This window comes from Homo sapiens, chromosome 1, assembly GCF_000001405.40.
Source record: "Homo sapiens chromosome 1, GRCh38.p14 Primary Assembly".
In the NCBI taxonomy this organism is placed as follows: Eukaryota; Metazoa; Chordata; class Mammalia; order Primates; family Hominidae; genus Homo; species Homo sapiens.
This window is the reverse complement of record NC_000001.11, coordinates 218456975-218484793: the sequence shown is the minus strand read 5'-3', so window position 1 is coordinate 218484793 and position 27819 is coordinate 218456975. Positions and strand designations below refer to the sequence as shown.

General features: G+C 38.5%; 3 annotated features.

The window, feature by feature from the left end:
• Positions 24573 to 24867: an enhancer, noted in NCBI's record as "tiled region #8131; K562 Activating DNase unmatched - State 8:EnhW". NCBI's record gives its function as "activates a minimal TATA promoter and a strong SV40 promoter by Sharpr-MPRA in K562 cells {active_cell/tissue: K562}" and the evidence as "EXISTENCE:reporter gene assay evidence [ECO:0000049][PMID:27701403]".
• Positions 24573 to 25615: a biological region, named in NCBI's record as "Sharpr-MPRA regulatory region 8131".
• Positions 24616 to 25615: an enhancer, noted in NCBI's record as "NANOG-H3K27ac hESC enhancer chr1:218632521-218633520 (GRCh37/hg19 assembly coordinates)". NCBI's record gives its function as "activates a minimal SCP1, AML or CMV promoter by ChIP-STARR-seq in naive H9 embryonic stem cells {active_cell/tissue: H9 hESC(naive)}" and the evidence as "EXISTENCE:reporter gene assay evidence [ECO:0000049][PMID:30033119]".

The window sequence follows — 27819 nt, the reverse complement described above, 5'->3', positions numbered from 1 at the left end:
CTATACTTTTCTATGAGTAGCAATGCAGTAGGTTTGTTTACACCAGCATCACAACAAACGTGAATAATGCATTGCGCTACAGCATCAGGGTCACCATAACAGAACTAGGCAGTAGAAATTTTTCATCCCCGTTACAATCTTATGAGACCACCATCATATATGCCTTTCATTACTGACTGAAACATCATTATGCGGTGCATGACTATACATATGTGTGTGTATAACTCTGAAATATAATTGGAAAAATAGCTAAAAGAAAATATAACTGCTATTCCTAATTAGTGAACTTGTAGGTGAAGCTTCTTTTGATGCCAATTTTTCCGTATTTTCCATAATTTTGACAAAATGTAATAATATTAAGTAGTAAGAAATAACATTTTTCAAGGAAGTTCGAGTAAGAAGTAATGGCAACCTGAGCTCTGATATTAGCAATAGGAATGAAAAGCAAAAACTTAGTGATGTAATATGGAAGATACGCATTTGGAATCCACAGATTATATTTATTTATTTATTTATTTATTTATTTATTTATTTATTGAGATGGAGTCTTGCTCTCTCACCCAGGCTAGAGAGCAGTGGTGTGATCTCGGCTTACTGCAACCTCCTCTTCCCAGGTTCAAGCAATTCTCCCACCTCAGCCTCCCGAGTAGCTGGAATTACAGGCACGTGCCATCACTCCTGGATAATTTTTGTATTTTTTAGTAGAGATGTGGTCTCAACATGTTAGCCAAGCTGACCTTGAACTCCTGGTCTCAAGTGATACATCTGCCTCGGCCTCCCAAAATGTTGGGATTATAGGCATGAGCCAACCGTGACAGGCCTGGAATCCACAGATTATTCAAATTCTTTCTGCATTTTGGCCAATGACATCAGTCTTCTCTGGTATCAAACCTTTCAAAATTCATATGCAAGGGACTATAAAGAATAGTGTTCAAGAGCATCAGCTCTGGAGTCAGATTGCTTGAGTTTGAATCCCTTTCTGCCACTGACTAGCTTGGTGACTTTAGGCAAGTCACTCTCTAAGCCTCAGTTTCTTCATCTTTAAAATGGGAGTGATAATACAAATTCATAAGGCTGTTGAAAGGACTGAATGAAGTCATACATTAAATCATTTAGTAAAATGTTATCCACATAGTGAAGACTCAGGAAAGGTTAACTGCTATTTTTATTATTATTATTATTTGTCTTGTTCAACCTCCAAACAAAGATCAAGTGAAAATGGGATCATCAGAGAGAAAGAAGAAATATCCATGGAAGTGGATAATAAAAACCACTGGGAGGCAGAGTCGCATTCATACACAGTCAATAAACTGAACCTCCTTTCTTGTCTCCAACACTAATCTGGTTATTCTCTTTTGTCCTTGACTGAACTTCAATTCTCTAACAGCTCCTGAAAGTTGATGATTATGCTGTTATCCACCTCGCCAGCCCATCCTCCTAAGTTACAAAGTACATTTTATTTCTTTATTCCTGTTTTTTTTTGAGATGGAGTCCTGCTCTGTTGCCCAGGTTGGAGTGCAATGGCTCACTGCAATCTCCACCTCCTGAGTTCAAGCACTTCTCCTGCCTCGGCCTCCCGAGTAGCTGGGATTACAGGCATGCGCCACCATGCCCAGCTAATTGTTGTATTGTTAGTGGAGACGGGGTTTCACCATGTTGGCCAGGCTGGTCTCGGACTCCTGACCCCAAGTGATCAGCCCACCTCAGCCTCCCAAAATGCTAGGATTACAGGCGTGAGCCACCGCACCTGGCCAACAAAGTACATTTGATTTCTGACTGTGTATATGGAACACTGACTAGAGGTCCTTGGACACTTGTTCTCACTCAGCCTTATGCCACAAAGTATTACGTGGATCTACAGATGTTCACCATGAAATAATAGAGTTGCATCACTGCGTTAAAGAATTTCCAAAAGATGCCAAAAGGAAGCAGAATTTCTTCCTCTTGGGGCCTTCTTGCATCACAGTGTGTACTTCAGGAATTAAAATAGAAGCTTTGTTGATTGAAAACTAAAAACCAGCCAAAAGGAAATAGTGCCTTTGTACTGTGACTTTTCTGGATCATAAAATACTCTTCGTTACTCATTACTATAAAACAGAGGCATTTCTGTTGTTAGTGTTGAAGAATTATGTACCTATCATCCAAAATATATTATTGACCTTCATTTATTCAATGGAAAAAGTGCCTTTCTTTTTTCTGCTGCTTTAAATTCTACCTTCCATTATCCCATACTTCCACTCTTCCTCCTCTCTGTGTTAATATATACAGCATAGACAGAAATGACTATCAAATAGAGTATAAAGTGATAAAATAAATTTGGGGCCGGGTGCAGTGGCTCACACCTGTAATCCCAGCACTTTGGAAGGCTGAGTCAGGTGGATCACAAGGTCAGGAAATCAAGACCATCTTGGCCAACATAGTGAAACCCCATCTTTACTAAAATACAAAAAAAAAAAAAAAAAAAATAGCTGGGCGTGGTGTCACGTGCCTGTAATCCCAGCTACTTGGGAGGCTGAGGCAGGGGAATCGCTTGAACCCCAGAGGCGGAAGTTGCAGTGAGCTGAGATCATGCCACTGCATTCCAGCCAGGTGAAAGAGCAAGACTCCATCTCAAAAAATAAAATAAATAAATAAATAAATTCGGACTAGGCACAGTGGCTCACACCTGTCATCCCAGCATTTTGGGAGGACAAGGCAAGCAGATCATGAGGTCAGGAGTTCGAAACCAGCCTGGCCAATGTGGTGAAACCCCATTTCTACTAAAAATACAAACATTAGCCCAGCGTGGTGGTGTGCACCTGTAGTCCCAGCTACTTGGGAGGCTGAGGCAGAAGAATCGCTTGAACCCAGAAGGCAGAAGTTGCAGTGAGCCGAGATCGCACCACTGCACTTCAGCCTGGGGGACAGAGCAAGACTCCATCTCAAAATAAATAATAGATAAATAAATAAATAAATAAATACATAAATACATAAATAAAATAAATTCATTTAAAAGTGTTTAAATGAGATCCACATATCTGCATATAAACCCATGTAGGCAAATACTCAAGCTAATTATGTAGTCTCATGGTTAAATTCTTCTTCCTTTAGTCATTAGATAAAGAAACTTATTTAGAGAGAAACCAGAAAAACTAACAATGGTACAGTAGCAGCTAGGCAGTTGAAGAGCCAGGAAAGGAATACGGGAGCCCTCCCTGCTTATCCTATTTAATTATTTCCCCACACTGTCCCCTTCAGAGCAATGATAACACCCAACCTTTCTTGGAAAGCACCACATTTTTCGGGCTATGTTTCTTTTGGAATTGTTCTGGAGACAACAACATGATTAAAATTTGAGGCAAGGGACAGACACAATATCTATCTGGTTGCTATTAGTGTTTTGGAAACTCCAAATGAAATACCGCTAGTTAGCAACTAGAGATGTTGATCAAACAATAGTTCCCCAGCCAACATAAAAACTAGTTGTATCCAGATGACTTTGCTCTCAAGCATTGGAATTTTGGGGCATGTGGGTAAAGCTTGGCTAATTATGATACTGACCACAGTAAAGCACACATATGTATGGCAAAACACTCATATATTGAATTTATGGCATGCCAGAGATAGCCATTCCATATGACACTACCAGCTTTATAAACCAAAACAACTTTGTCCCAATGTAGTAAACTGTTAGAGTTCGTGATAAATCATTGAACAATTAATCTATCTCACAGCCTGTCTTGCACTCCATTTTACAAACTGAGAATATACTTCAGGACTGAAAATATGGGAAAGCATTCAGATATGAATTGCTGAAATAACTACAAGGAAATCTCATTGCACACCATACAAGTTATGTTGACATGGAAGAATATCTCCCCATCAGTCTGAGTAAACTATTACATAACAGCTAAGCTATAATAAAATCCTGATTCCAAATCAAATAAGTCTCCCAGACTTCTAAAATGAGTCACCAACAGCTTTATAAACATACAAAATACTTGACAAGGAAGTCTCTGATAATTTTTCAGTAATTATGTCTGCAAATTGTTCCTTGCTGACATCATCATTAGAAATGGTTTCCCATAAGCTTGTATTGCCTCTTCACATCTGTTCATTAATCACTAATGCTTTGAATATTTCTATCATTATTAGGTAATTCACAGGGTTTACATGATTCCGCAGCACTCTTCTCAGTGGAATTTTTAATTAGTGGAATCAGTGTGATCAAAGCTGATATAATTATGGTCTCATGTTCCTTGCAGTATTTTTAGTGCAGATTCATGATGCTGACAAACCTTAATCCTAAAACAATATTTCAGAAACAAAGATGACACAGTTTCTAAACATCTTGAAAAAAAGTGCAAGGGAGAGAGAGGGGACAGAGTTGAGGGGTCACTAAGTTGACATATTTCGTGTTTAAAGACATTTCAAAGCACTGGCGTCATCTTTCTTTGTGTTGGACATGAGATTTGAAGTCCTGCTCTGACATGTGATTCACAAACCAGCCCTGAGCCAAGTATGAGTGTCAGATGCTGGGTTCTGCATACTGTATTGTCTGGCAATGAGTGTAGGAGAGAGGAAGAGCTAGCTACGCAAAGCAGTCCTGCTGCTCTAGAATAAAGAAAGAGCAGTCCCAGCCTGGCCACATGGGTTTATCCCTCAAAGGAGGGCAACACAGCAGAAAATGTAAGTCTTAGACCTGGGAAAGTTGTTGGGGACAAGAGGATTCCTTGGCCTAAACTATGCCATTATAATGGATGTGACCCAGAATAAACTAAGTCCTTGATCTCTCTGTAACTGTATTCATCCAGTGATAAACACTGGCTCCCTGGAAGCCTGAGAAAGCACAATATTTAGAGGAGTTCAAAATGTGTCTAAATGGAATTTGGATTTCTCCCTAAATGACCTGCGTGGTGGGCATGCCAGAAGCTTGCCACTGGAATGCCACTGGAATGAAGATGGTTGAACAAGCAAAGGAATAAGCACAGTACTTCCTGTTGAAAACAAAATTGCTATCTTTGTCAGGCCTGAAGCCTTCAGTTTAATACATAAAATAAATACTTGGGAAAGAGAAGATGTTTTCTATGGGAAAATGGAAGTTCTGAGGGTAAGATTTAGGTTAATACAAAATAAAAGCTTTCTATCATTAGAGCTATCCAACATTGTTGGATAGGGTTGACAAGCAAAGTAACAAGTATTTCACAACAGGAAGCTTTCCAGTGGAAACTGTGTGTGTGTGTCAAATAAGCAATTCATTTATTAATTTATTCACTCATAACACATTATTTATGAAGTGCTTATTAAGTAATCATAGGGTACAGAGAATGCAAAGATTGATAAAAATATAGCCCCTAACATAACATAGCCCAGGAGTTCACAAAACAATAGATGAGACACACACCAAAGCAGAATATTAAAACAATATAGTCAATAATAAGCTAACAAAATGACCCAGCTTTGGGACACACATAAGACCTGACTTCAAAAGGAGCTAGAGAAATAGACTGTATTCTTCCACTGGGCTTCTGAGTGGTTGATTTTCTGTGCTTCCAAAAAGACAGAGCTTCAGACCCATTGGTCATGTTAGTAGAAACTGATGCCCATCTCTTTAACTTGAAGAGAATCAGCAAGTTGGAATAATAGAAAGAGAATAGTAGAACAACCAGTGCTGCCAATAAAAGTGAATTGGTAGGGGAGAAAAAGATAAAGAAAATAGAAAGTGGTATTGGTAGACTCTTGGAAATCATGGTTTCCATAGCAAAAAGTTTGCTTTCTCTCTGCCTCTGACCCAGGAAATAAACACTTTCTCATGACCCTAATTACAGGATACTTCGAACTGTAGAAATTTGCAATGACAGGAAAATACACACACACACACCTGTTTCCATAAACTAACCATGGAAACTATTTAAAAACTGATAGTCATATAACCTATACCAGAATGTGTGACAATAACTTTTATACCCAAAGCATAGAATAAATATCAATAGAAAATAATTTATGCTGAAATAGAGTGAAAACTATTTATTTTATATAAGATCCCTGAGATAAGAAACCAAAAGCTGAGAACCATGAACCATTAGCAATTGTTTTGAGGAACTATGAAGAATATGAAAGGTGACAGAACACTGGAGAAGAAAAAATGTGGTTCCAGACCAAGCCCACCATGAGGTTCACGAATTAAGCAAGAAATAGGAACTTATTTCCTGTTCTGACAACTGAGAACTTTGACTGTTTGGGAAGGACAGTTGACAAGGTGAGTCATGATGTCCTTGTGGAGAAGATGAAGAAATGTGGGCTGAGATGACCAGTCCATGGGTGACTTTGTAACTGGTCGAATGACTGTATCCTAAGTGGGATGACTATGGAGGGCATTTAACATAGAAGAATTCTCAGAGTGAGCCATGGATGGCTCTTCCTCTGTCTTATGCCTTATCTCAGTCAACGTGTTTACCACTGAATTAAACGAGAATCCTGACAGTGTGTTGACTACATAGATACATAGAAAACAATAAGCTGAGAGGGATACCTGATTAGTTAGTTGAAAGAATTCTGTTCCAAAAGAAGCTTTGTCACTCTGGAGCAATGGGTATAATAGCTCTGAGTAGAAAATTCTGTAGCTGATCTAAAAATTCCAATTTCAAAAGTAAGCCAGGGTGAAATGAGATTCAAGAAGAGAATACTTGAAAGTAACGAGAGTTATATCACAATATACTGCCACTACTGAAAGCTATTATAATATGACATTTTCTGTAGTATTAAAAATATGATTGAGAAAGTAGAACAAAGACTAAGGTAGAAATGGAAAGTATGGTATGCAGGCTTTAGTGCAACACAAGGAAGAACTTTCCGATATTGAGAACTGTTTAACACCGTAATGGGTTTCTGGAGGAAAATCAGAGAGTACTGGAGTGAATTCTTCCTCTGTGACTATATAAAACTGTCTTGTCCAGTACAGTGTCCACTAACCACATATGGCTAGTTAGCACCTGAATTATGGCTGGTACCAATTGAGATGTACTTTAGTTGTAAAATACACTCTGAATTTTGAAGACTTGGTATGAAAAAGAGAAATATAAGGTATCTCACCGATGGCTGGGCACAGTGGCTCACGCCTGTAATCCCAGCACTTTGGGAGTCCAAGGCGGGCAGATCACGATGTCAGGAGATCGAGACCATCCTGGCCAACATGGTGAAACCCCGTCTCTACTAAAAATACAAATATTAGCTGGGCGTGGTGGCACGTGCCTGTAATCCCAGCTACTCAGGAGGCTGAGGCAGGAGAATCACTTGAACCCAGTTGGCAGAGGTTGCAGTGAGCCAAGATCGCACCACTGCACTCCAGCCTGGTGACAGAGTGAGACTCCATCTCAAAAAAAAAAAAAAAAAAAAAAAAAAAAGTGTCTTTGCTGATATGGTTTGGCTCTATGTCCCCAACCAAATCTCATCTGGAATTGTAATCCCCATGTGTCAGGGGCGAGACCTGGTGGGAGGTGATTGGATTATGGGGGCAGTTTCCCCCATGCTGTTCTTGTGACAGTGAGTTCGTTCTCAGGAGATCTGATGGTTTAAAAGTATGCAGTGGCTCCCCCTTATCTCTCTCTCTCTCCTGCTCTGCCATAGTAAAGAACTGTTTGCTTCCCCTTCTGCTATGATTATGTTTCCCGAGGCCTTCCAACCATGCTTCCTATTAGGCCTGCAGAAATGCCAGTCAATTAAACCTCTTTTCTTCATAAAATTACCCAGTCTCAGGTAGTTCTTTATAGCAACGTGAGAACAAAATAATACACTCATTAATTCTTATAATGATCACATGCTGAAGTAGTAATCGTTTGAACATATTGAGGTAAATATAGTATTAAAATCAATTTCACCTATGTCTGATTACTTATTTAACATGACTACTAGAAAATTTAAAATTACATATGTGGTTTGCTTTTTTGGCTCACATTCTATCTCTAGTGAACAGTTAGTAAAAGAGGCTAGACAATTCTAGATAGTTTGGGATGGGAGTTACATGCTGGATAAGGACTTGTCTCAGTCTCTAAGTCCCCTTCAGATTTCAAATTTTATGCTGTAGGTTAAAGAACTGCTAATAGAAGCTGCAAAACAATTAATATCTTCTTTGTTAAATCCAAATGCCTTTCTAGCAACTAACATTTGTTGGTTTAAGAGTCCTGCTCAAGTTAAGACCATTTGTGGAAGAAGCTAAATAGCAATGACTCATTACAAAAGTGTCTCTGGACTCATGGTATTTTCTAACAGGATCATCATGTTGATCAGCCGTCACGTTGATATCTGTTGACACAGAATCTCAAACTAACAAATGACTAGCCTTTAAAATAGACACCAATAATAATCGTATTCAAGAATTTTCTAATTTTTGTTTCCTACAGTATCTTATAAAGATGATATTTAGGAGTTTAATAAATAATTTTAAAAGTTGCTGAAAATACCAAAATAACTCAATATCAAATATTTATTCTATGTGTTAAGGAAAATTGAGAAGGCAAGTACAGTCTATGTTCCTAAAATCTTTTTAATGGGTGTTCTTCACATTTCAAGACTGAATTGTTTATCTCCTTAACCAGGTTATTATAATCACCTTCAACTTAGTGTGTAAGTTCCTCATATATGAAGTGTGAGCTTTGTACAATAAGAGATCTGTTAGGCACCAGATAGATGCTTGCTATGTATAGAGATTATAATAAAGTTAAGTATTTGGGAATAAGAAGTTCATTTTCAGAGACAAGTGGAATTTTCAGATAAGCCCTGGAAGACATATAGGAAGTTATCCTAGTTCAGATCACTGCAAATTCTAACCCCACCTTCCTCCCTCCAGAAATCAACAAGCCCTTCAAGGAGTTTATAATCTAGCTAAAAAGTTCACAGTCACATATCATGGGATGTTAGGGCTGAATGAGCCAGCTCTGAAACTCTCCTGACTCCAGTCTTGATCTCTTAAGTTCCACTTGCGTTTGTTACTACCTAGGCATCTTGTGTAATTATAGGAGTTTAGTATTTTATGGGACAGGGGAGAGGGTCAGGAGCAGAAGAAGTGGTTAATATTGATAATAATCCTCAACCAGAAATGTTCTGCTTTTTGCTTATCTTGATCAGGGATCCAGAAATTCTGACAAAATGTCAGTATTCCAAAGCTCCGCAAAGACTGCCTATATAATTATTATCCCTATTGTTTCATAGGCATTTGGCTTGATAGAAAGCTAATGATGGGCACTTAAAAGTCAAATGACATGAGTAATTAAGAATAGCCATGAAGGATGATGTAAAGGCATCTCCATTTCAGACTGGGGAAAGCACAGAAATGTTCTACCTAGTGGATCATAGATAAAAATAGCTGCCATCTGCTGGTGCCAGGTACTTTTCATGATTCTCTCATTGAATACTCACAGCCAATTTATGAGATGGGTGCTATATTATTCCTATGTAAGACATGAGGAATCCAAGGCAAGGAGAGGTTTTGCCACTTGTCAAAGGTTACAGTCACTGGGGCTGGAACTCAGTCCCACATTGATCTGATTTCAAAGCCTCATCTCTTAACCACTTAACCAGTGCTGAGATGAGACTGTCTCAGATGAGTCCCTGCTTAGATCTGGATAAACTTGTAAGAGTTGTTTCCTCTGAAGGAAAAATGGGTGCTTTTCACTTTTTCCTTCTATAAAGCAGGAGAGAGAGAGGGTGAACTGCCAAGACAGAGCTGGATGTGCTCCTGGGTTCCACTGTAGGCCCTCAGGGAAATCTATGCCTAGCAAGTTTTTGATGATACAGGACCTTGCTCTAAAGAATTCCGTACATCTCATAGCTGTACGCCTCACTCAGGACAGCAACTAAGAAAAAAAATTACCTAAAATTCGGGTTAAGTATTATTGGCAGCACAATTTCTGTAACAATTCACTCCCTAACTCCCACTAGCAAGAGGTAAATCAATGCCTCTTATTTCTCATTGAAACCCGTCTCTTTTGTACCCTTAATCATTTTGCTGCTCCAATGGAACTGTGTGCAAATTAAAACCCTAATGAACTTGCTATCTTTGTATTCTGATCTGAATTCAGTCACAAAATGAAGGACTCCAGCCACAATCACGAGCCAAGAGAAAACAAATGTATGTAATGCATTACCATTAAAACCTTAGAATCTTTACACTAATGATGTTGGGTAAGAAATGTTATCTTTGGGTAAGAGAAACAGAAAAAAAAAAGTGACGGCATGTCTCTCAAAGAGACAAGCAGGAAACATTCTGGAAAAGTGGGTCATATTAGAAAATCTCTGCGGTTGTTACAAAGCCAAAAAGATATTGCCTGTTTTGTGCAGAGCACAGTTCTAGCCACTATGAAGGGAAAGTGCAAGAAAAGAAGGCGGAAAGAAAATAGGGAAGGATTAAAGGCAAGAATCCTGAACAGATGGCTAGTTGAAAGGAAATAAAACACACTTCCTGCTTTTAAAGCATTTATCTTTGCGCAGGCTTCCCTATCTGACTTATTTGCAACCACCAGATAATCAAAGCTGTAATAAAAGCGAAACTATTCTCCATCGCTAAATTAGCTAGTGGTTAAAAGGGAGACAAGATGAAAGAGTGTGGATTACCCACTCAAATTTATCATCAGTAAAATAATAACTCAAACCACAGGACCTAGAAGAGGATGACTTAAATAAGGACAGGCATTTGCTTCAAAGAAAGAACAAAGTAGTTAGGGCATTCAATGAATAGCGCAATGCAAGTGGCAGATACCTTAATTACCTAATCTTAGCTGAGTTAAATTGTGTGCCTGCCCTTGCCAGTAAAAAATAGCAATCTAACAACATGGCCAGTTGTTAATAAAGTATTATTTAGAAAAAGAAAACAATTCCAGATTTAATATCATATAAAGGTAATGGCCTCATTAGATGTGCATCAAAATGATGCCTAATCAGTACCATTATTATTATTTATTAATAATGGCGGTATGGAACCCGATTTCACAGTGGCTGAGGTCAGCCTCACATGGATGACTCACACACATGGCTGATCTACATAAATAGCATGTGCTAAGATTACCATCTGGTATAACAATCTACATCACAAGACTCCACATTTCCTGTTACCCAGGGTAAGTAAATTTCAAGCATGAGGGAAAATTTTAGCAAGTTTCTCCAAGTACCTTTGCTGAGAGACTAATGTGGCTTACACAGAGAGGAGGGGAAAGGAAATTATGAGGTAAAGGTTATTCTCCCTTTCATCTCCCCCTGACTTCCTCTTCACATAAGAGGAGAAACACCACCTTTGCAATTCTGGCTCATATCATCTATAAAATCAAATTTGTCCAATTAATCTCTAACAAAGGCACACCAGGCATACTGTAAGACACATATCTGAACAACATTCAAAGCAGGTGGCATACATTTGAAAATCTCTTATTCCTTTCCTTGTACCTTCCCTCTTTTTTGATCCCTATTCTTCTTTTTTCTTTTCCTATGTGAAGACATCAGCATGTATCATGAAATGACACAAGAGAAACCGTGGCCTCTGAAGATTACTTTGATATTTTGGATTTCTAATAAAGACACCCACATTTGAAACCATTTTCATACAAAACTAATTTTGTCTCATGCTTAAGATTGTACTACCCATCAGGGTGTTATTACTGCCATAACTACCATCAGAGATGGGTGAGGGACCTCCTGTAGTTGTACCTGCTTGCATGAGGCCCTCTGGTGCATGATCTAAACATCCCTCTCTCTCTCTGAGAACTCCCCAGGGTGTACCAGGCTCAGAAGCCCTCAGATGGTCTTTCAGAGCATGGGGCAGGCCAACATCTCTACTCTGTGTTTAGTTCTTCGGATTCTGTTTATGTTTTAATTTAATTTAATTTTTTTCTTCAGATTTACACAAATCTAGAATTTTGCAATTCAGTTTATGAAAACAAAGATTACAAAATTCAGATTATAATTAGGCAAGTAACAGATATCTCTCTCTCTCATTTTTTTTTTGCTGTTTGTAAGAAAGAATATTGTATTATAGTAATTAAAGGTATAAACAAACAGATTTAATATAACTAGGAGGAAAAGCAAACAAATAGTTTACAGCAACCTTTGCTTGTGAACAATGACTATATTTATTACTAATAATACAAATCCCTTTTAAGCACAACACTTTATAGCAGAGATCAACACATTTTTTCTGTAAAAGATAAGATAGTAAATATTTTGGTCTTTGTGAACCAAGAGGTAAAATAGAGGATATTAAATAGAAGCTTATACAAGGGAGAATACAAATATCTACAAAATTTTTACTAATGAAATGCAAAATATAATAACAGTAATTTAGCACAATTTTTTGTAATACCAATCTACTAATGAGAAGAAAGAAATTCTTTAAAGGGGGCCTGGAGGAAGTGATATTTTTTATAGTTGGGGTTTAAATGTAATGTTTCCCATTAGCAAACTGGTGCAAATGTTCATCTGCACCATTCTTAGCTCAGGGGCTATACAAAGGCAGATGACAGGCTGGATTTGGCCTATGGGCCATAGTTTGCCAACCCCTGTTTTAGAGTCTTGAGTACTTTCAAAGGAGCAAAGTGTTCTTACATTTACTGTGTCATTTACGTCTCACCATAACTCTATGAGAAGCCTGGCTAGATACCTTATTCCCACCCTATGGATGAAGTTCCTAAAACTTCCACAAATGAAGTGGCTTCCTGAGAGAATACACCAAGTAAATGTTGGAACCAGGACTTGAATTTAGACTTCTTAACTGTTAAGTAGATTCCAATTTAGGGCATATACTAAGTCTCCTCTTCCTCTGATTTACCGAGGTAAATATTAAATTAAACTCTAATGATATTTCAAGTATTGATACCACCCAAAAGATTTTTGGAACCTCATTTTTGGTAATGTTTATCAGAACATTTGTAATGATGGTCCATCTTCATCCTTAGATGTTTAGAAACAGCCCCAAGTCTTCTCATGCCATCTCATAATGTAAACTGCATTTAAGTCACAAACAAGATTTAGCGATAATGAAATGAGATACTTATTCTGGATGGGCCTCAAAAACCAATTCTGAAGACGATGTTTAAGCAGAAACACCCCAAAAATATCTTTAAAGCAAAGACATCTTTATTAGATGAATAAATAGCCTTTCAGTTAATCTTTACAGAATTTTAGAATTTACAGTTTAGGAACTTTGAAAATAAATTTTTCCAATGTCCTTATTTATAGAAGAAGAAGGAAACAAATTTAGAAAAGTTACTTTGAAGAACAACATTCAAATTGTAAAATCTAATGTTTGTTTTAAAACCTCTCTCTCAGTGGTAATAAACAATAATGAATTGCGCTCCAGTACACATCTTGTAAATTACATTGAGTATAGTGACTTTAAGCCAGGAAGGGTAAGATCTGGGAAGTTTGGACTTTTTAGGCCAAGCTACCGGTTCAGATGACTTCTCAAAATCTCTTCCAGTCCAAAACTCCATGATGCTATGTAAAATCAGCTGGAGTCAAAGCCAAGTTTTGTAAATAGTGGTAACTACTTACTGAGTGCTTCCTATATGCCTTGCAGAGTTCTCAGCCCTTAGCTCATAAAATCTTCACAACAATCCTATATGGTAGTTAATGTTATTCCTATCTTATAAATGAGGAAACCTAGGCTTAGAGATGTTCGCCTAAGTTCACATGTATAGTTAGAGGCAGATATTGGATTCCCAATTGATTGGTTAGTTAAGATTCAATCAGAGAAAATTATTAAGAGTGATATATATTTGACATCATACAGTTAGAGGAACGGGCTAGACTATTTACTGCTGTTGCTTTTGCATTTGGTGCTGGGCTTAAAGTCCACAGAGCAGGCTGACAAGAAAGAAAGACAGACATAAAGTAGGGAAGAGCAAAGACAAACTAAATCCATGAGAATAAGCTGGAATCTATGAGGATGAACTGGAACCTGTGTTATCCTCTCACCCCCAAACCTCAACTTCAGTGATATGTGTATAACCTGCAGAAGAACTGGCTTACTTTGCCACAGTGCTCCATATGAAACTGCTCAGGTAGCATTCTCAACTTCCAGTTTACTGAAATCATTACTGTGCTCACTCCTTTGGAAACTAAAACCTCTAGACTAACGGAGCAGGAACAGGAAACAAAAATTCCACTAGTTTATGTCTAGGAGAATAACTATTATTCCCATAGAGAGGATTTGCCATTCCAGGATTCGAGAGGTGCATTTGCCTAAATAGGTAAATCTTATCTCTGGCAGAAAGAGCATTATATATTAGTCAGTAATTAGAGCAAATAAAACATCCTGGAGGATATTACTTTTGTCTTCCAAGTTATTTACATCCAGTTGGCACGGTATCCGAGTCTTCAAAAGGCCATCCCACTGTTCTACCATGCCGACTGCTTTATAGTGATTGGGAACATAGAAAGACCACTAAATTCCATGAGTATGAGCCCCACGTTGCACTTAATTTGCTGTAAACTGAATTGCTTTGTCAGCAGCAATGTGTAGTGATAGCAGCATTCTGTGAGTTCATAGATGGTAGTATTGGCACTACAGGAAGTTAAGGCAAATCTAAATCTAGAGTAAATGTCTGTTCTAGTAACAACAAAGTGCTGGTGCTGTCTGTAACCTGATGGAATTGATCCAATATAATCAGCCTCCAACCAGGTGCCTTCTTAAACCCACCAGGTAGTGGTGCCATACAAGTGTTGTTCTTGCTGTTGGTAGGACAGACCCTTAGCAGTGGCTGAAGCCAAGTCAGCCTTAATGAGTAGAAATCTATGTTGCTGAGCCCATGCATAACTTCTACCCTTTCTTTTATGCCTACTTTCTTCATAGAGCCCCTTGGGCAAGGATGGGGGTAGCTGGAGAGAGAAACTGACTGATGTCCATAAGACAGGTTATCTCATACACCTGATCATTGAGATCCTCCTCTGCTTAGACTGCTCTTTGGTGCAAATTCAAAGAGGTCCATCGACAAATCTTTTCCCCAGACCTCTTTTTCACTAATTTTCTAATAGGGCTTCTTCAAAGTCCCTAACCTTCCAGATATACTCATAGATACAGTCAATGAGTCACTGTACATCCATACTTTTTGCCCTTTCTCCTTTCAAGCAAAATGAGCAACTAGGTGCACTTGTTGAAGTTCTGCCTGCTGGTAGGTTTTTTCCTTACCACAGTCTTTAGGGCCACCCCAGAGTGGGGCTATAGGGATATAGCTATCTACTTTTGGGCATTGACCACACATCATCAAGAGCGATCTATAAACCAGGCTGAAATCGTTTCTTCTTTAGTCAACATCTGTGCCTTTGCATGTGCAATTTACCTTTGCCTTCAATACCTGCTTCAAGCTGATCTCATTTATACCATTTTCCTTTAATAATGGAGCACTTCTATACACATATGACTTTTCTTTTTAAGAGATGGAATCTCATTCTGTTGCCCAGCCCAGGCTGGAGTGCAGTGGTACAATCATAGCTCACTGTAACCTCAAACTCCTGAACTCAAGTGATCCTCCTGCCCCAGCCTCCCAAGTAGTGAATAGCTAGAACTACAGGCATGTGCCACCAAGCCTGGCTAATTTTTTATTTTTAGTTTTTTGTAGAGTCGAGGTCTTGCTGTGTTGCCCAGGCTGATCTCAGACTCTTTGCCTCAAGCAATCCTCCAGCCTCAACCTCCCAAAAAGCTGGGGTTACAGGTGTGAGCCACTGTACCCAGCCGCACACACATGACTTTATGAGAAAAATATGTGTGTCTCCATAACCCATAATCTTAACTATTGTGCTACACTTCTGTCATAACAAACAGGAACTAGCATATTTAACATAGAAGAAAAGGTCAGGTGACCATCATTCTTTTCAACATCACTGTAGACATTTATCGTGTTAGCACTTCTAATTACGAGTATAAAGCGGAATTAAAGGAAGAGCTATGACTTAAGCAGCTTCTGAGAAAATAACAATAGAGGAAGTCTGATTTACACTCTTGGAGATAATGACCTGTGACTAGTAACTAACTACACAGGAGAAAAGATCTCCCAGATTATATATAATTTAAATTCTAAGTATCTTTTAAAGTAAATAAGTGTTTCACAATTTTTTTTCTGTTAATGACACATTCCCATAGTAAAAGAATAAAGGATTTGGTCTCTTCTTGACCTTTTAATTTTCTTCTTAGGCTTTCTAAAATAAAACTTTATACAGATGATGGTAATTGCTCAAAAAACATAACATTTATTCCATCACCAACCTCAAAACATTCTGCATCATATTATGACACTTATAAACTATGGGTATCTGATAAGCTTGGTTGTCCTTTTGGGAGGTTCTAATTTATTTCAGGCAGGTTTGACCCCTGAACTTATATACAGAAAATAAAAGGAGAGAGAAGAAATTCCTTCATGAAGTACAAAAAACGAAACAAAACAAAACAAAACAAAACATGTTGCAGGAAACAGAGTGCAAAGACGACACTGGAAAAAGCACAGCTGTAATGTCCATGTTGCTACTTCACCCATCATGGACCAAAGGAAGGCTCCCTATAAGTGGAAAGGTTGTACACCTATGAATTAAGAGACAGTAGCCTCATCAACATTATATACGTAAGAATAACAAGACGTCATTTTCTTCTAAAAAGTTCTAGCATTGCATTTACAAAGATTAAAATATTAAAAATGGAGTCAGCTATCCCTTGAATTTTCCTTCTAGTCTTCTGGGTGACTTTTACACTCTGGGCTTCATGATGGTGGCTGTGACCTGCAAATCTTGGCTCTATTCCCTAAGCTTCTAGTATCTTGGGATTTCTCTAGGTTTTTTATTTGTATTTTTTTCTTTTTTCCTGTATGATTGTCCTACTCTGGCTACCAGTTGACATAAATGAGAAATGAAGATAAAAATGCAGTCACTGTCAAGGGTATAAAAAAAAGGAAGTGATAACAAGCATAATCCAAGAATTGCAGTTACTGTCAAATGCAAGGAGAATCTAAGAATTGCAGTTAAGCGAGGGCATTAATGCTTAGCTTTGGAATGGATCATCAAATTTAGATAGCCTTCTTGCTGAACTCTAACAAATATTAAAATAAGTCTGAGCCCTGGGGATACCCACCAAGTTATAGTTCTGAGAGGCCAGCCTGCATTTCACATTTTTCTTCAGTTGAGGTACAAAGTGGACAATCCACATAAATTAATGGGAAATCAATTGTATATGTTGAGTGTTGAGAAATGCCAGTGGGATGAGAAAAGGGAAGAAGAGATGAAGCAAGGAGGCACATTTCACATGTAGCCAGGCGTACAGGGCCTCCAATCAGATCCGTCATTCTATCTCCCACACTTTAGATGATGCTTACAATAGTCACGGGTCACAACACGAAATCCTTTATTCCCATGGCAAATAGCATTTGAAAATGAAGCTCCGTGCAATTAAGGTTTGTTGGGAATTTTTTCCCTTTTCACATATGGCAATATTTATCTTCAAAGTCCTTCTCTTGGGCTCACAGTCTCCTTTATAAAGCAGCTGGTCTTGTGTGGCCTAATTGTGAGATGATTTGTTGTGTGATTCAGTAGCATTGTTTATTTGTACAGCGGTTCGGTGGAATTTATAAACTGCATAATATTGTTCTAGACTGTTTTCCTTTTAGTAAGAAGCCACATTTTCTCCAGCATTCATGACTGGGATTATAATTAGGTGGAGCACTCAAGATATTTTCATCCCAACTTCCTCTGTTAATTAATGACATTAAACAAGAAACTCTTGCAATTAAATGAAAAGATGTGAGCAGAACATGGAAAGAGAACTAGAGTGATGAATCAAGTTGAACTCAATCTTTGTTTTGCATATGAGAGCTTGTAACAAATGCTCACATGTAACTAATACAAGCTGTAAGTTATTTCTAATTAGTCCTAGCTGTTCTCAGGAAAACCGAATCAAATCATGGAGTGTTTTAGAAAAGATCTCTTTTGCTATTCTTGGTCTGTCCCCGAGAAACCCTCAGCAAATGGTCCCAGTTACTTGTCACACGTTCTTCAATGATGAAATGTCTCCAGTGCTGCCAGGCCTATAAAAAGTTCTAAAAGCAATTTGACCTTCCCATTTCGTTTCCTTTATTAAAAAGAAGCTGCATGTGGGCATTTTGGTTTTTTTCCGATAGAATATTTCCAAATCAAGTATGAATGGAATTTTCAAAGTACTTAGGAGATTAAAAAACAAAGTGATAATTTCAGGATCTGGGATGAAATCATTAAGATTTGTTGAAGCTCAGAAGAATGGCTTGGGGCAAAACAGGGATGTCACAGGGGAACAGCCAGTTAGCCATTGGTCAAGCAGTTTTCAACATGGCATTGCTTTAGTGAATGAGTCACAAGCCAGGATCTGGCCCTCAGACTTTGCAGCCCAGCAAACGGACCTTATCAATAATCCCAGACATGGTCAGAATCTTGGGGAGCCACTCACACACTAGTCCACAGGAGATTAATATATAAGCCAAAAGACCAATTTACTAATTTATTATGGGTGATATCTCTGTCCAGAGTCTTGAATGTTTGCCCCTCCTAGCTAAGGTATCCCTTTGCACACGCTGATGGAAACGTTCCCATCTTCCCAGCTGGGAAACTGGGTTATTAATCTGAATGTTGTTTGGTTGGCATGGAACTGAAACAAATGGAAGGGAAATGTCTCAAGGATCATGTCATCTAAGTGAAGACATGGTTCAATAAAATTTCCATCATATCACAGAGAACAATCCTCCACATATGTGTCCCCCAAATTCAGCCATCTCAATCCTCTAAGATTGAAGGTAAATTATTAATTCTGTTATTCCTTTCTTCTTGTGCTGCATGTCTTTATTTAAAAGTTTAAGATTATAGTTAACTAACATCTAATTACTATTTCTATAAACCCCAGAAGACACGCTATTTCTGTTATATGCTTATTTAATTTCTTTAGATTTCTAACAGCAACCTTTCTTACCCCTTGTCTAAGTTTCTTGGGAAAGCCTTGCCATCACCCCAATGTATCGTCTTTAAACTTTAGGATTCAACCATTCACTGAAGATATATTCATTTATCTGAAACATATTGAGTATATGCTAAGTGCAGAGCACTGGGGTGGGCATAGTTCAAAGCACAAAAAGAAAAGAGGAGATAAGCCCTGCTGCCAGGAAATCTCAAATTCATTTAGGGAGACGAACTATACACACACACATCCAAAAAAATAATATAGAGCAGTACATCATTTAGTGACAAATACGCAGTAGAGTTCAAAGGAAGGAATAACTAGAATTGTTCAGAGAAGGTTTTTGTTTTGTTTTGAGACCGGATCTCTCTCTGTCACCCAGGCTGGAGTGCATGGAGTGCAGTGGTACAATCATTGCTCATGGCAGGCTTGACTTCCCTGGCTCCAGTGACCCTCCCACCTCACCTCAGCCTCCTGCTTAGCTGGGACTACAGGCGTGCACCACCACACAAGGCTAATTTATTTTTATTTTTATTATTATTATTTTTTTTTTGTAGAGAGAGGGTTTCACCATGTTGCCCAGATGATCTTGAACTCCTGGGCTCAAGTAACCCACCCACCTCGGCCTCCCAAAGTGCTGGGATGACAGGCATGAGCCACTGCTCCCCACTCAGAAAAAAATGTTTAATGGAAAAAGTGGGATTTAGGAGAAAAACTGAATAAATTTCTTCTTAGATTAAGGCAAGATTTCTCAATCTAGGCACTATGGATATTGTGAGTCAGAGAATTCCTTGTCATGAGGGCCTTTCTCATGCATTCTAGGGTATCTAGCAACAGCCCTGGCCTCTACCCACCATGCTAATAGCACCTTTCCCTTAAGTTTCCACAACCAAAAAACCTCCAGAAATTGTCAAATATCCCCTGAGGGGCAAAATCACCTCAGGTGAGAACCGTAAGGTTTAGGTGACTGGTCATGTAAGTGAATTATTCAACTGACCCTTAGAGATGGGTGAACAATGCTCAGGGGAGAGGTTAGGGCTAAAGATTCAGAGTGGTGAGCTGGCAGCACTGGATGTGAATAAATAATTCCAAGGACTGGGCAAGAGGAGGATCTAAGAGAAGAGGTGGGCCTGGGACTGGATATAGCATAACTGTTGTTATAACATTTATTTTTTGCATGAACACTAATGTTTTATAAGTACTTAAAAGGTTCCCATCTTTATCTAAATTGGTGACATTTTAAAATAGATCTGTCTTTGAAAATACTACAAATAAAGAGGAGGGGTGGGAACATACAACTAATTATCTCAGGAGACATCTAAATAATATCTCAGGGCCGGGTGTAGTGGCTCAGGCCTGTAATCTTAGCATTTTGGGAGGCCGAGGCGGGCGGATCACTTGAGGTCAGGAGTTCCAGACCAGCCTGGCCAAAGTGGTGAAACCCTATCTCTACTAAAATACAAAAATTAGCAGGGTGTGGTGGCTCTTGTCTGTAATCCTAGCTACTCGGGAGGCTGAGGCAGCAGAATTGCTTGAACCCGGGAGGCGGAGGTTGCAGTGAGCCGAGATAGCGCCACTGCACGCCAGCCTGAAGGACAGAGCAAGACTCCCTCTAAAAATAATAATAATAATAATAATAATATCTCAGAAGACACATAAATTTGTCCTATAAGAAAAAAAATAGAATTATGAGAATACCACCAACAAAAATTTGCAAGGGGAGCAGAAAGTTTCCTCCTTACTGTATATAATTTTGCTTGAGAACTTGAAATTTAAACTGAGTGCCTGAAATATTATTACAAAGCACATTTCAAAATAGCAGTCGTCATAAGAAATGTCATTCACAGCTATCATCCAATACCTTTCCAGAGTGGTGTTTTTCCCGCCCTTTAGGGCTGCACATGAGCAAAATCTCAATCATCATCAATAGCCATTTGGTTTTCCCAAAATGCTTAATGGAACAAGCCAGCTTGGGAGAAGTAATTGTTATCTGTGGCCAGTCTGTGTCTTTGCTAGTGACCCTGGAGAGGGGACCAAGAAAGAGGGCAGCTGGCCAAGGGGCGCCTGATACCACAGCAGGCCTGTGTGTAGTCCGTGAAGGGAAGTCATCAGCGGGCTCACTGTCTTCCAGATATATTTTGTAATAATTCTAGCAGGAAGTGAGAAGGCCCAGTGAGTCATGCAGAAATACATCCTTAAAAAAAAAAAATCCATTTGACCTTTCCAACTTGTCCAGATGTACACCGTTTTTAAATTTTGCTTGTTTTTAACTCACCATACAAACAGGTACTGTGAGGAAACCTGGTTAGGTGTTGGTCCCAGGAGACTCTTTCGCCTAGAGTGTGGTGCCCAGAAGCATAAAGGGGCACAGAGGAGAACAACGGATTCAGAGAGGAAACTGGGCTGTATCTGAAACCTTTAGCAGCCTTGCGGAATTAGTTTCAATTCTTTGTATTTTGCTCTTTGCCTGGCCTCCAGCGTGTCGGGAGCAGCGGTGCAGAAACAACGCTGATTCAGAAAGTCTGGTTGCCAGACATTCTGTTGGAAACAGAAATCCGAAAGGGATTCTGACCTGTGTTGAGGGGGCAAGCTGGACATGGCTAGGGCCTGTTATCCTTGCATGCAGAGGAAAGAATCAGAATCCCTTGAGTCAAAAAAATCACAGTGCAAAGCAGCCTTAAAAAAGAAAGAAATAAAATAAAAGTGCTCACTTTCCTTGGATTTTCAGAGTTTTGGGTTAGGCTCCAATGGGAAATGCCACAGCGGGGAAAATATTCTCAGACAACTTCTCCCCCCACAACCCCTCCCCAGATAAAACCTTTTCTATGCAGTGATTCTTTCAAGCCACAGAGACATGTTTAGGGTAAATTTTATTTTATCCAAACCCTTTTATCCATTTTTTTTTACCGTTTATTCCTTTTCTTCCCCAACCATTACCATTTGCTTCCTTTAAAAAAAGAAGAAACTGCTCACATGATGGCACACACTTGAATAGCTCCAAGACCTATTCTTAGACTGATATATAAGGAATTTACTCACCACTCCCTTCGGATTAATGGGCATTAACCTTTGGAATACAGTCTTTTTATGTATGTCAGGGTATTTTTAAGAATGGGAAAACCCAGGATACAGATAAACAACAATGGTTCCAAAGGAGAGTTATTTTTAGACCTGACATCCCCAAGTACATAAAGCTACAGACACCAAAATGGTTCTCACTCATGTGCCCCTCCTGTCACTTTTACAAATCACTCTCCACCCACCTGCTTGGTCTGGTATGTTCGTGCATGTGCACAAACATGCACACACATGTGCATATACACCTCAGACCTCTGCATAAAATCCCACTGTCACAATCTCTAGTTTTGATCAAAACCCAAATCATGCTGAAGAGTAAAATTGTAACAGTTTCCCCCAGATAAAAGATCATTCTTGATAAGGCTTTCTCCTAAAACTTTTGTAAAAATTGCTGGGGTGGTTGAAAGTTTTTCTATACACATTTAAATGTTGGATGTTTCTCCAAACCAGTCTTGAACTCTTGAGGGCGTCATGGTAAAATGCTGGCGATGTTCCTGCTGTTACTACCAACAACCAGCCTCTGAAAAAATGGACAGAGACTCCGTTGAAGAGAATGGAAAAAGCTCACTTATGTGATACTGCATATAAAATCTGCAACGGAAAAGAAAGTAATAGCACCTGAAAGTTTAATACATTTATGCTGATCTAGAGCACTCTGTTGAGGTTCACTTGGGACATGCAAAATTACATGTTTATTTCCCAAATGTAAGTCTATCTAAAATACGGAGGAGTACACTTTAGAGGATCTCTTGCTTTCCACTTATGTAGGGTATATTTCATACTCTAAAGAACTAATAGAAGAACTAATAGGGTCTGAGGATAATGTGAACTGTCAGCCATATATAGTGAACGGTTAGCCACATATATATATGGCTATATATATATATATAGCCATATATATATACAGCAACCATTTGGCTGCTGTTTATATATACACATATGTATGTGTATATACATATATATACGTATATACACACACACATATATGTGTATATGTGTATATACATATATACATATACACATATATGTGTGTGTGTATATACATATATATACGTATACACACACACACACACTCATATATATATATATACACACACACACAGCAGCTGAATAGTTCTAACAACCAGAGGGAATCAGTTTCTTTGGATGGTTTTACCAAAATTGTCTAAGCATGTTTATGTTCCAGGAGCAGAAATATCATTGTGTTAACAATTTTAAAGATCTTAGTCAATTGAGTCACTATCTGGGATTTCTTTCCAAATAATCCAGTGGAGGAAAAGGGAAAGTGAAGAATAATGTAAATAAAGCAGTTGTAGATGAATAAAGGATACATGAGGCTTCTGTATTCTTCTTGCTACTTTTGTATATGTTTGAAATTTTCCATGATAATAAACTTTTAAAATTTCCACATAGCCATTCATTTATTTCCAGTATTAACTCTTTGAGTGACTTTCAAAACAGCACATTTTTCCAGTTGAATTCACATGATTAAAGCATACATATAGGTAGCAGTCTAGTTTGGGGGCTTTACGGAGCAGTGTAAGCAATAAGACACCCAGAGACCCAAATCCTGGCTTCGCCACTTCCTAACAGAGATCTCAGGCAAAATTACTTACACTCCCTGAACATGGTGATTTTATATGTAATTTGATGAGGATGATAATAATATCTACTTTATCATAAAGTCATTTTGAAGGGTAAAGAAGTTAATAGAGCTAAAAAGGTCTCGATGCAATTGGTGATTAATAAATATGCGGTGTATTTTCCATCAAAATCATTATTGGAATGTTAAAAGCCAAAATTATTTCAAACTAAAAAAAGAGAAAAACCAGAGTAAGTGCTTATTTAGGTATGAATTTGACCTACATATATCAAGCACCATTTGTGTGCTTTGAACTGTGCCAGGCACAACACAGAATAATATATAATCATTGTTTTAGAGAATCCTATAGCCTTGTGGTGGACAGATAGACAAATTTATATACCAGTGAAGAAGAGCCAAAACAGGGGTATGGATGTGGAACTCCTGGAGTCCTAGAGAGGACACTGTGAGCCCAGCCCAGAAGGGGTCATTGAGTCGTTAATCAGGCACTCAATTAGGGCATCCTACTGACCACTAAGCCCTGCTCCACAGCCTCCCAGGGAATCCATCCAAGCTCCTGGCCAATCCTTTGCCTCCCCTGGCCATATCCTAGGTAACCAACAGACAGCCACGGAAACGGAGCATACACAGTGGAAGGAAACCAGAACAAATAACCTCTGGCATTTCCACTCATTTCAAGACAGTACATCTGAATTGTTAATAAACAGAGAACAGAACTGTTGGAAGGAGCATAGCAGATTGGAGGGTCTAGCTGGAGGGGCTAGGGTGGGGATTTGGGACAGAGGGGGATATAATGGGAACATTTGAAAGGTTGTTTATTGCCAGTACATGGGGTCAGCTGCAGAGCCCCTTGGCCATCAGAAGGCTGTCTCTTGCAGGCTTTGCCTTCAGGCAGGGGACAAAGAAGATGTGAAAACTGAAAAAGAGAAATAGCTGGCAGGGAGGAGAGTGTGCAGAAAAAGGCAATGCTCCAAATAACTTGCCCCTCCTATTTTCTATTGGCACTATAAATACCATTCTAAAATGTTACCGTAACTTAAGGAGTCTCTTTTAGGAAGCATTTGGTAGTGAGTCATCCCACAACTATGTATAAAGCTGAACACCCTGCTGTGACTCTGTGAAACTCCTCAACTGGCTTTTACCGGGTCTGTTTTGGAATCCCATCTCTGTGGCAAGGAAGGACATGTGCAATTTGCAGACAAGGTCACCTTTGCTGCCATGATCTCGACCACTGCACTTACTCCTGTCTTGCCCAGGGGACTTCCAGGAGAGGAGGGGGAGCGTCAGAAACCTGGACAACACAGATCCACTTTTAGGAGAGGAAGGCAGGGGCTAAATTTAATGAATAAAATGTTTTTGGAACACGACACTTTTCAGATGACAGGCTACAGACAAAAGAGAAATAGACCCAGGGTTCAAGGCAATGGACTCGAGACAATTGAATCTTATTCCCAAATATCCTAGATGCACTTTTGCCCGGTGTCTTTCTGCTGCAGAGGCCAAGCCGCCATTTTGGCCACCTGCCTAAGTAAGCTCCACGCACTTCCCTTTCAGGCCTCATCCCCTCCACCCCGTGGCTCTTCAGAAAGTCAGCAAGAACAATCAAGGGCCCGCACTGTGCTGACACAATGCTAGCAAAATTGTCACATTACCTTACACAGAGAGGGCCTTTCCGTTTATATGGAATCCTTACCAAACCCCTTGACATAGGCAGTGCTTATTAGCTTTGGGTTATTGATGTGGTTTAATGATTCTATCTTTTGAATAAAATATATCTGTCAGTATAATAATGTGTGTTTACTATGTGAAGATAGTAAAGCAAAAAATAATACTAACCCAAAGAGATAAGAACTAGTCTCGCATCACACAGAGATAAGAACGGTGAGCCTTTTGGTCCGTTTCTCTGCTGCATTGCATAGCAGCAGGTCAGCGCGTAGGCTCTGGAGCTCATTGCCTGCTTTTGTATTCTTAGCTCCTCCTTTTAAGACCTGTATGACTTTGGCCCATCTACTTCTCTGGTTATCTCACATTACTCACCTGAGAAATGGAGACTGTAATAGACTCTGTCTCATAGGGTTGTTGTAAAGACTACGTGTATTAATAAATGCGAAGCACTTAATAGTGCTGATAATCAGTGCCTGATAAAGTAAGCAGTATGGAAGTGTTTGCTCTTCTCAAGGTTCAGCTATTCTCTGCATGCACTTTTCTATACTGCTTGCCACTTCAAATCGAACTAGATATATTTTTTGTATGATATCAGCAATTCTTCATGAACAATTTTGTAACATTTCTGCTTTCTAATGATAAACTATTAAATATTTGTATAGAAAATCTAGAAAGTATAGAAAAGCACAAAAAAGAAAATGACAGTGTCACCAAATCTTACTGCTCTTAGGTAACAACTGTTACAAATTTACTATGTGTCTCATTATTTTTCTATATAGAGATTTTGGCAAAATTTAACCAACAATTGTGAGCATTTTACATTTTGCTAAATATTCTGCTATAGCATTTTAATAGCTCGATTGAGGCATATAATTTACATACTATAACATTCACTCAATCATAAGAGTATAGTTTGACAAATGTTAACGTATTCATTCTGCTGTGCAACTATCACCAAAACATAGCTTGAAAATACTTCCATCTCTCTAATGCAAAGTGATCTTAACCACTATGTAATATTACCCTGTAGGGTTATACTGTGCTATATATATTACATAAGTAATACATCTAACTAAATCCATATATTTGGGAGTCTGGATTATCTTAATTTTCTGTAACTATAATTAATACTGTAATGAATATCTTTGTGCCTGGAGCTATTGTGATTATTTTGTTAAGATAATTTCCCACAAACAGCATTACTGGATGTGTATAGTTATGTATAACCATCTTTTTCTATTTTTAATTTTTGTGGATACATAATAAGTGTATATATTTATGGGGTACATGAGATGTTTTAATACAGGCATTAAATAAGCACGTTATGGAGATTATGCATTTACACTTTGAGTTATGGACAATCCAATGCACTCTTTAGGTGATTTCAAAATATACAGTTAAGTTATATCTACGCTCTTGTACTATCAAACAGTAGGTCTTATTCATTCTTTTTAACCACTTTTTTTGTACCCATTAACCATCCCCACCTGCCCCTCACCCTCCCACTCTCCTTCTTAGCTTTTGGTAACCATCCTTCTACTCTTTATGTCCATGAGTTGAGTTGTTTTGATTTTTAGATCCCACATATAAGTGAAAACATGCAATATTTGTCTTTCTGTGCCTGACTTATTTCATTTAACATAATGATCTCCAGTTCCATCTACGTTGTTGCAGATGACTGGATCTCATTCTTTTTATGGCTGAATAGTACTCCATTGTGTATATGTACCACATTTTCTTTATCAGTTCATCTGTTGATGGACACTTAGGTTCCTTCCAAATCTTAGCTATTGTAAACAGTGCTGCAATAAACATAGAAGTGCAGATATCTCTTTGATATACTGATTTCCTTTCTTTTGGGTATATACCCAGCAGTGTGATTGCTAGATCATATGTTAGCTCCATTTTTAACTTTTTGAGGAAACTCCAAACTGTTTTCTATAGTGATTGTACTAATTTACATTCCAACCAACATTGTAGAAGGATTCTCTTTTCTCCACATCCTCGCCAGCATTTGTTACTGTCTGTCTTTTGGACATAAGCCATTTTAACTGGGATGATGTATCTCATTGTAGTTTTGATTTGCGTTTCTCTGATGATCAGTGATGTTGAGCACCTTTTCACATGCTTGTTTGCCATTTGCATGTCTTCTTTTGAGAAATGTCTATTCAAATATTTTGCCTATTTTTTTATTGGATTATTAGTTTTTTTTCTATAGAGTGGTTGAGCTCCTTATGTATTCTGGTTACTAATCCCTTGTCAGATGGGTTTACAACAATCTTGATAGTCAAAATTGGTTCTAAAAGAGTTAAGCATGTTTATGAATTAACTTCATTGCAGAAAGATGTTCATTTCACACATCTTCGCCAGTATTGTTAACAATTATTTCTATTTCTTAATAGTGGAAACAAGTTTTAATTCTGTGCTATCTAGTACTGTAGCCACTAGCCACATGTGGCTACTGAGCACATAAAGTGTGGCTTATTCAAATTGAGATGTATGGTTAAGTGTAAGATACACACTAGATACTGAAGACTTTTGATTAAAA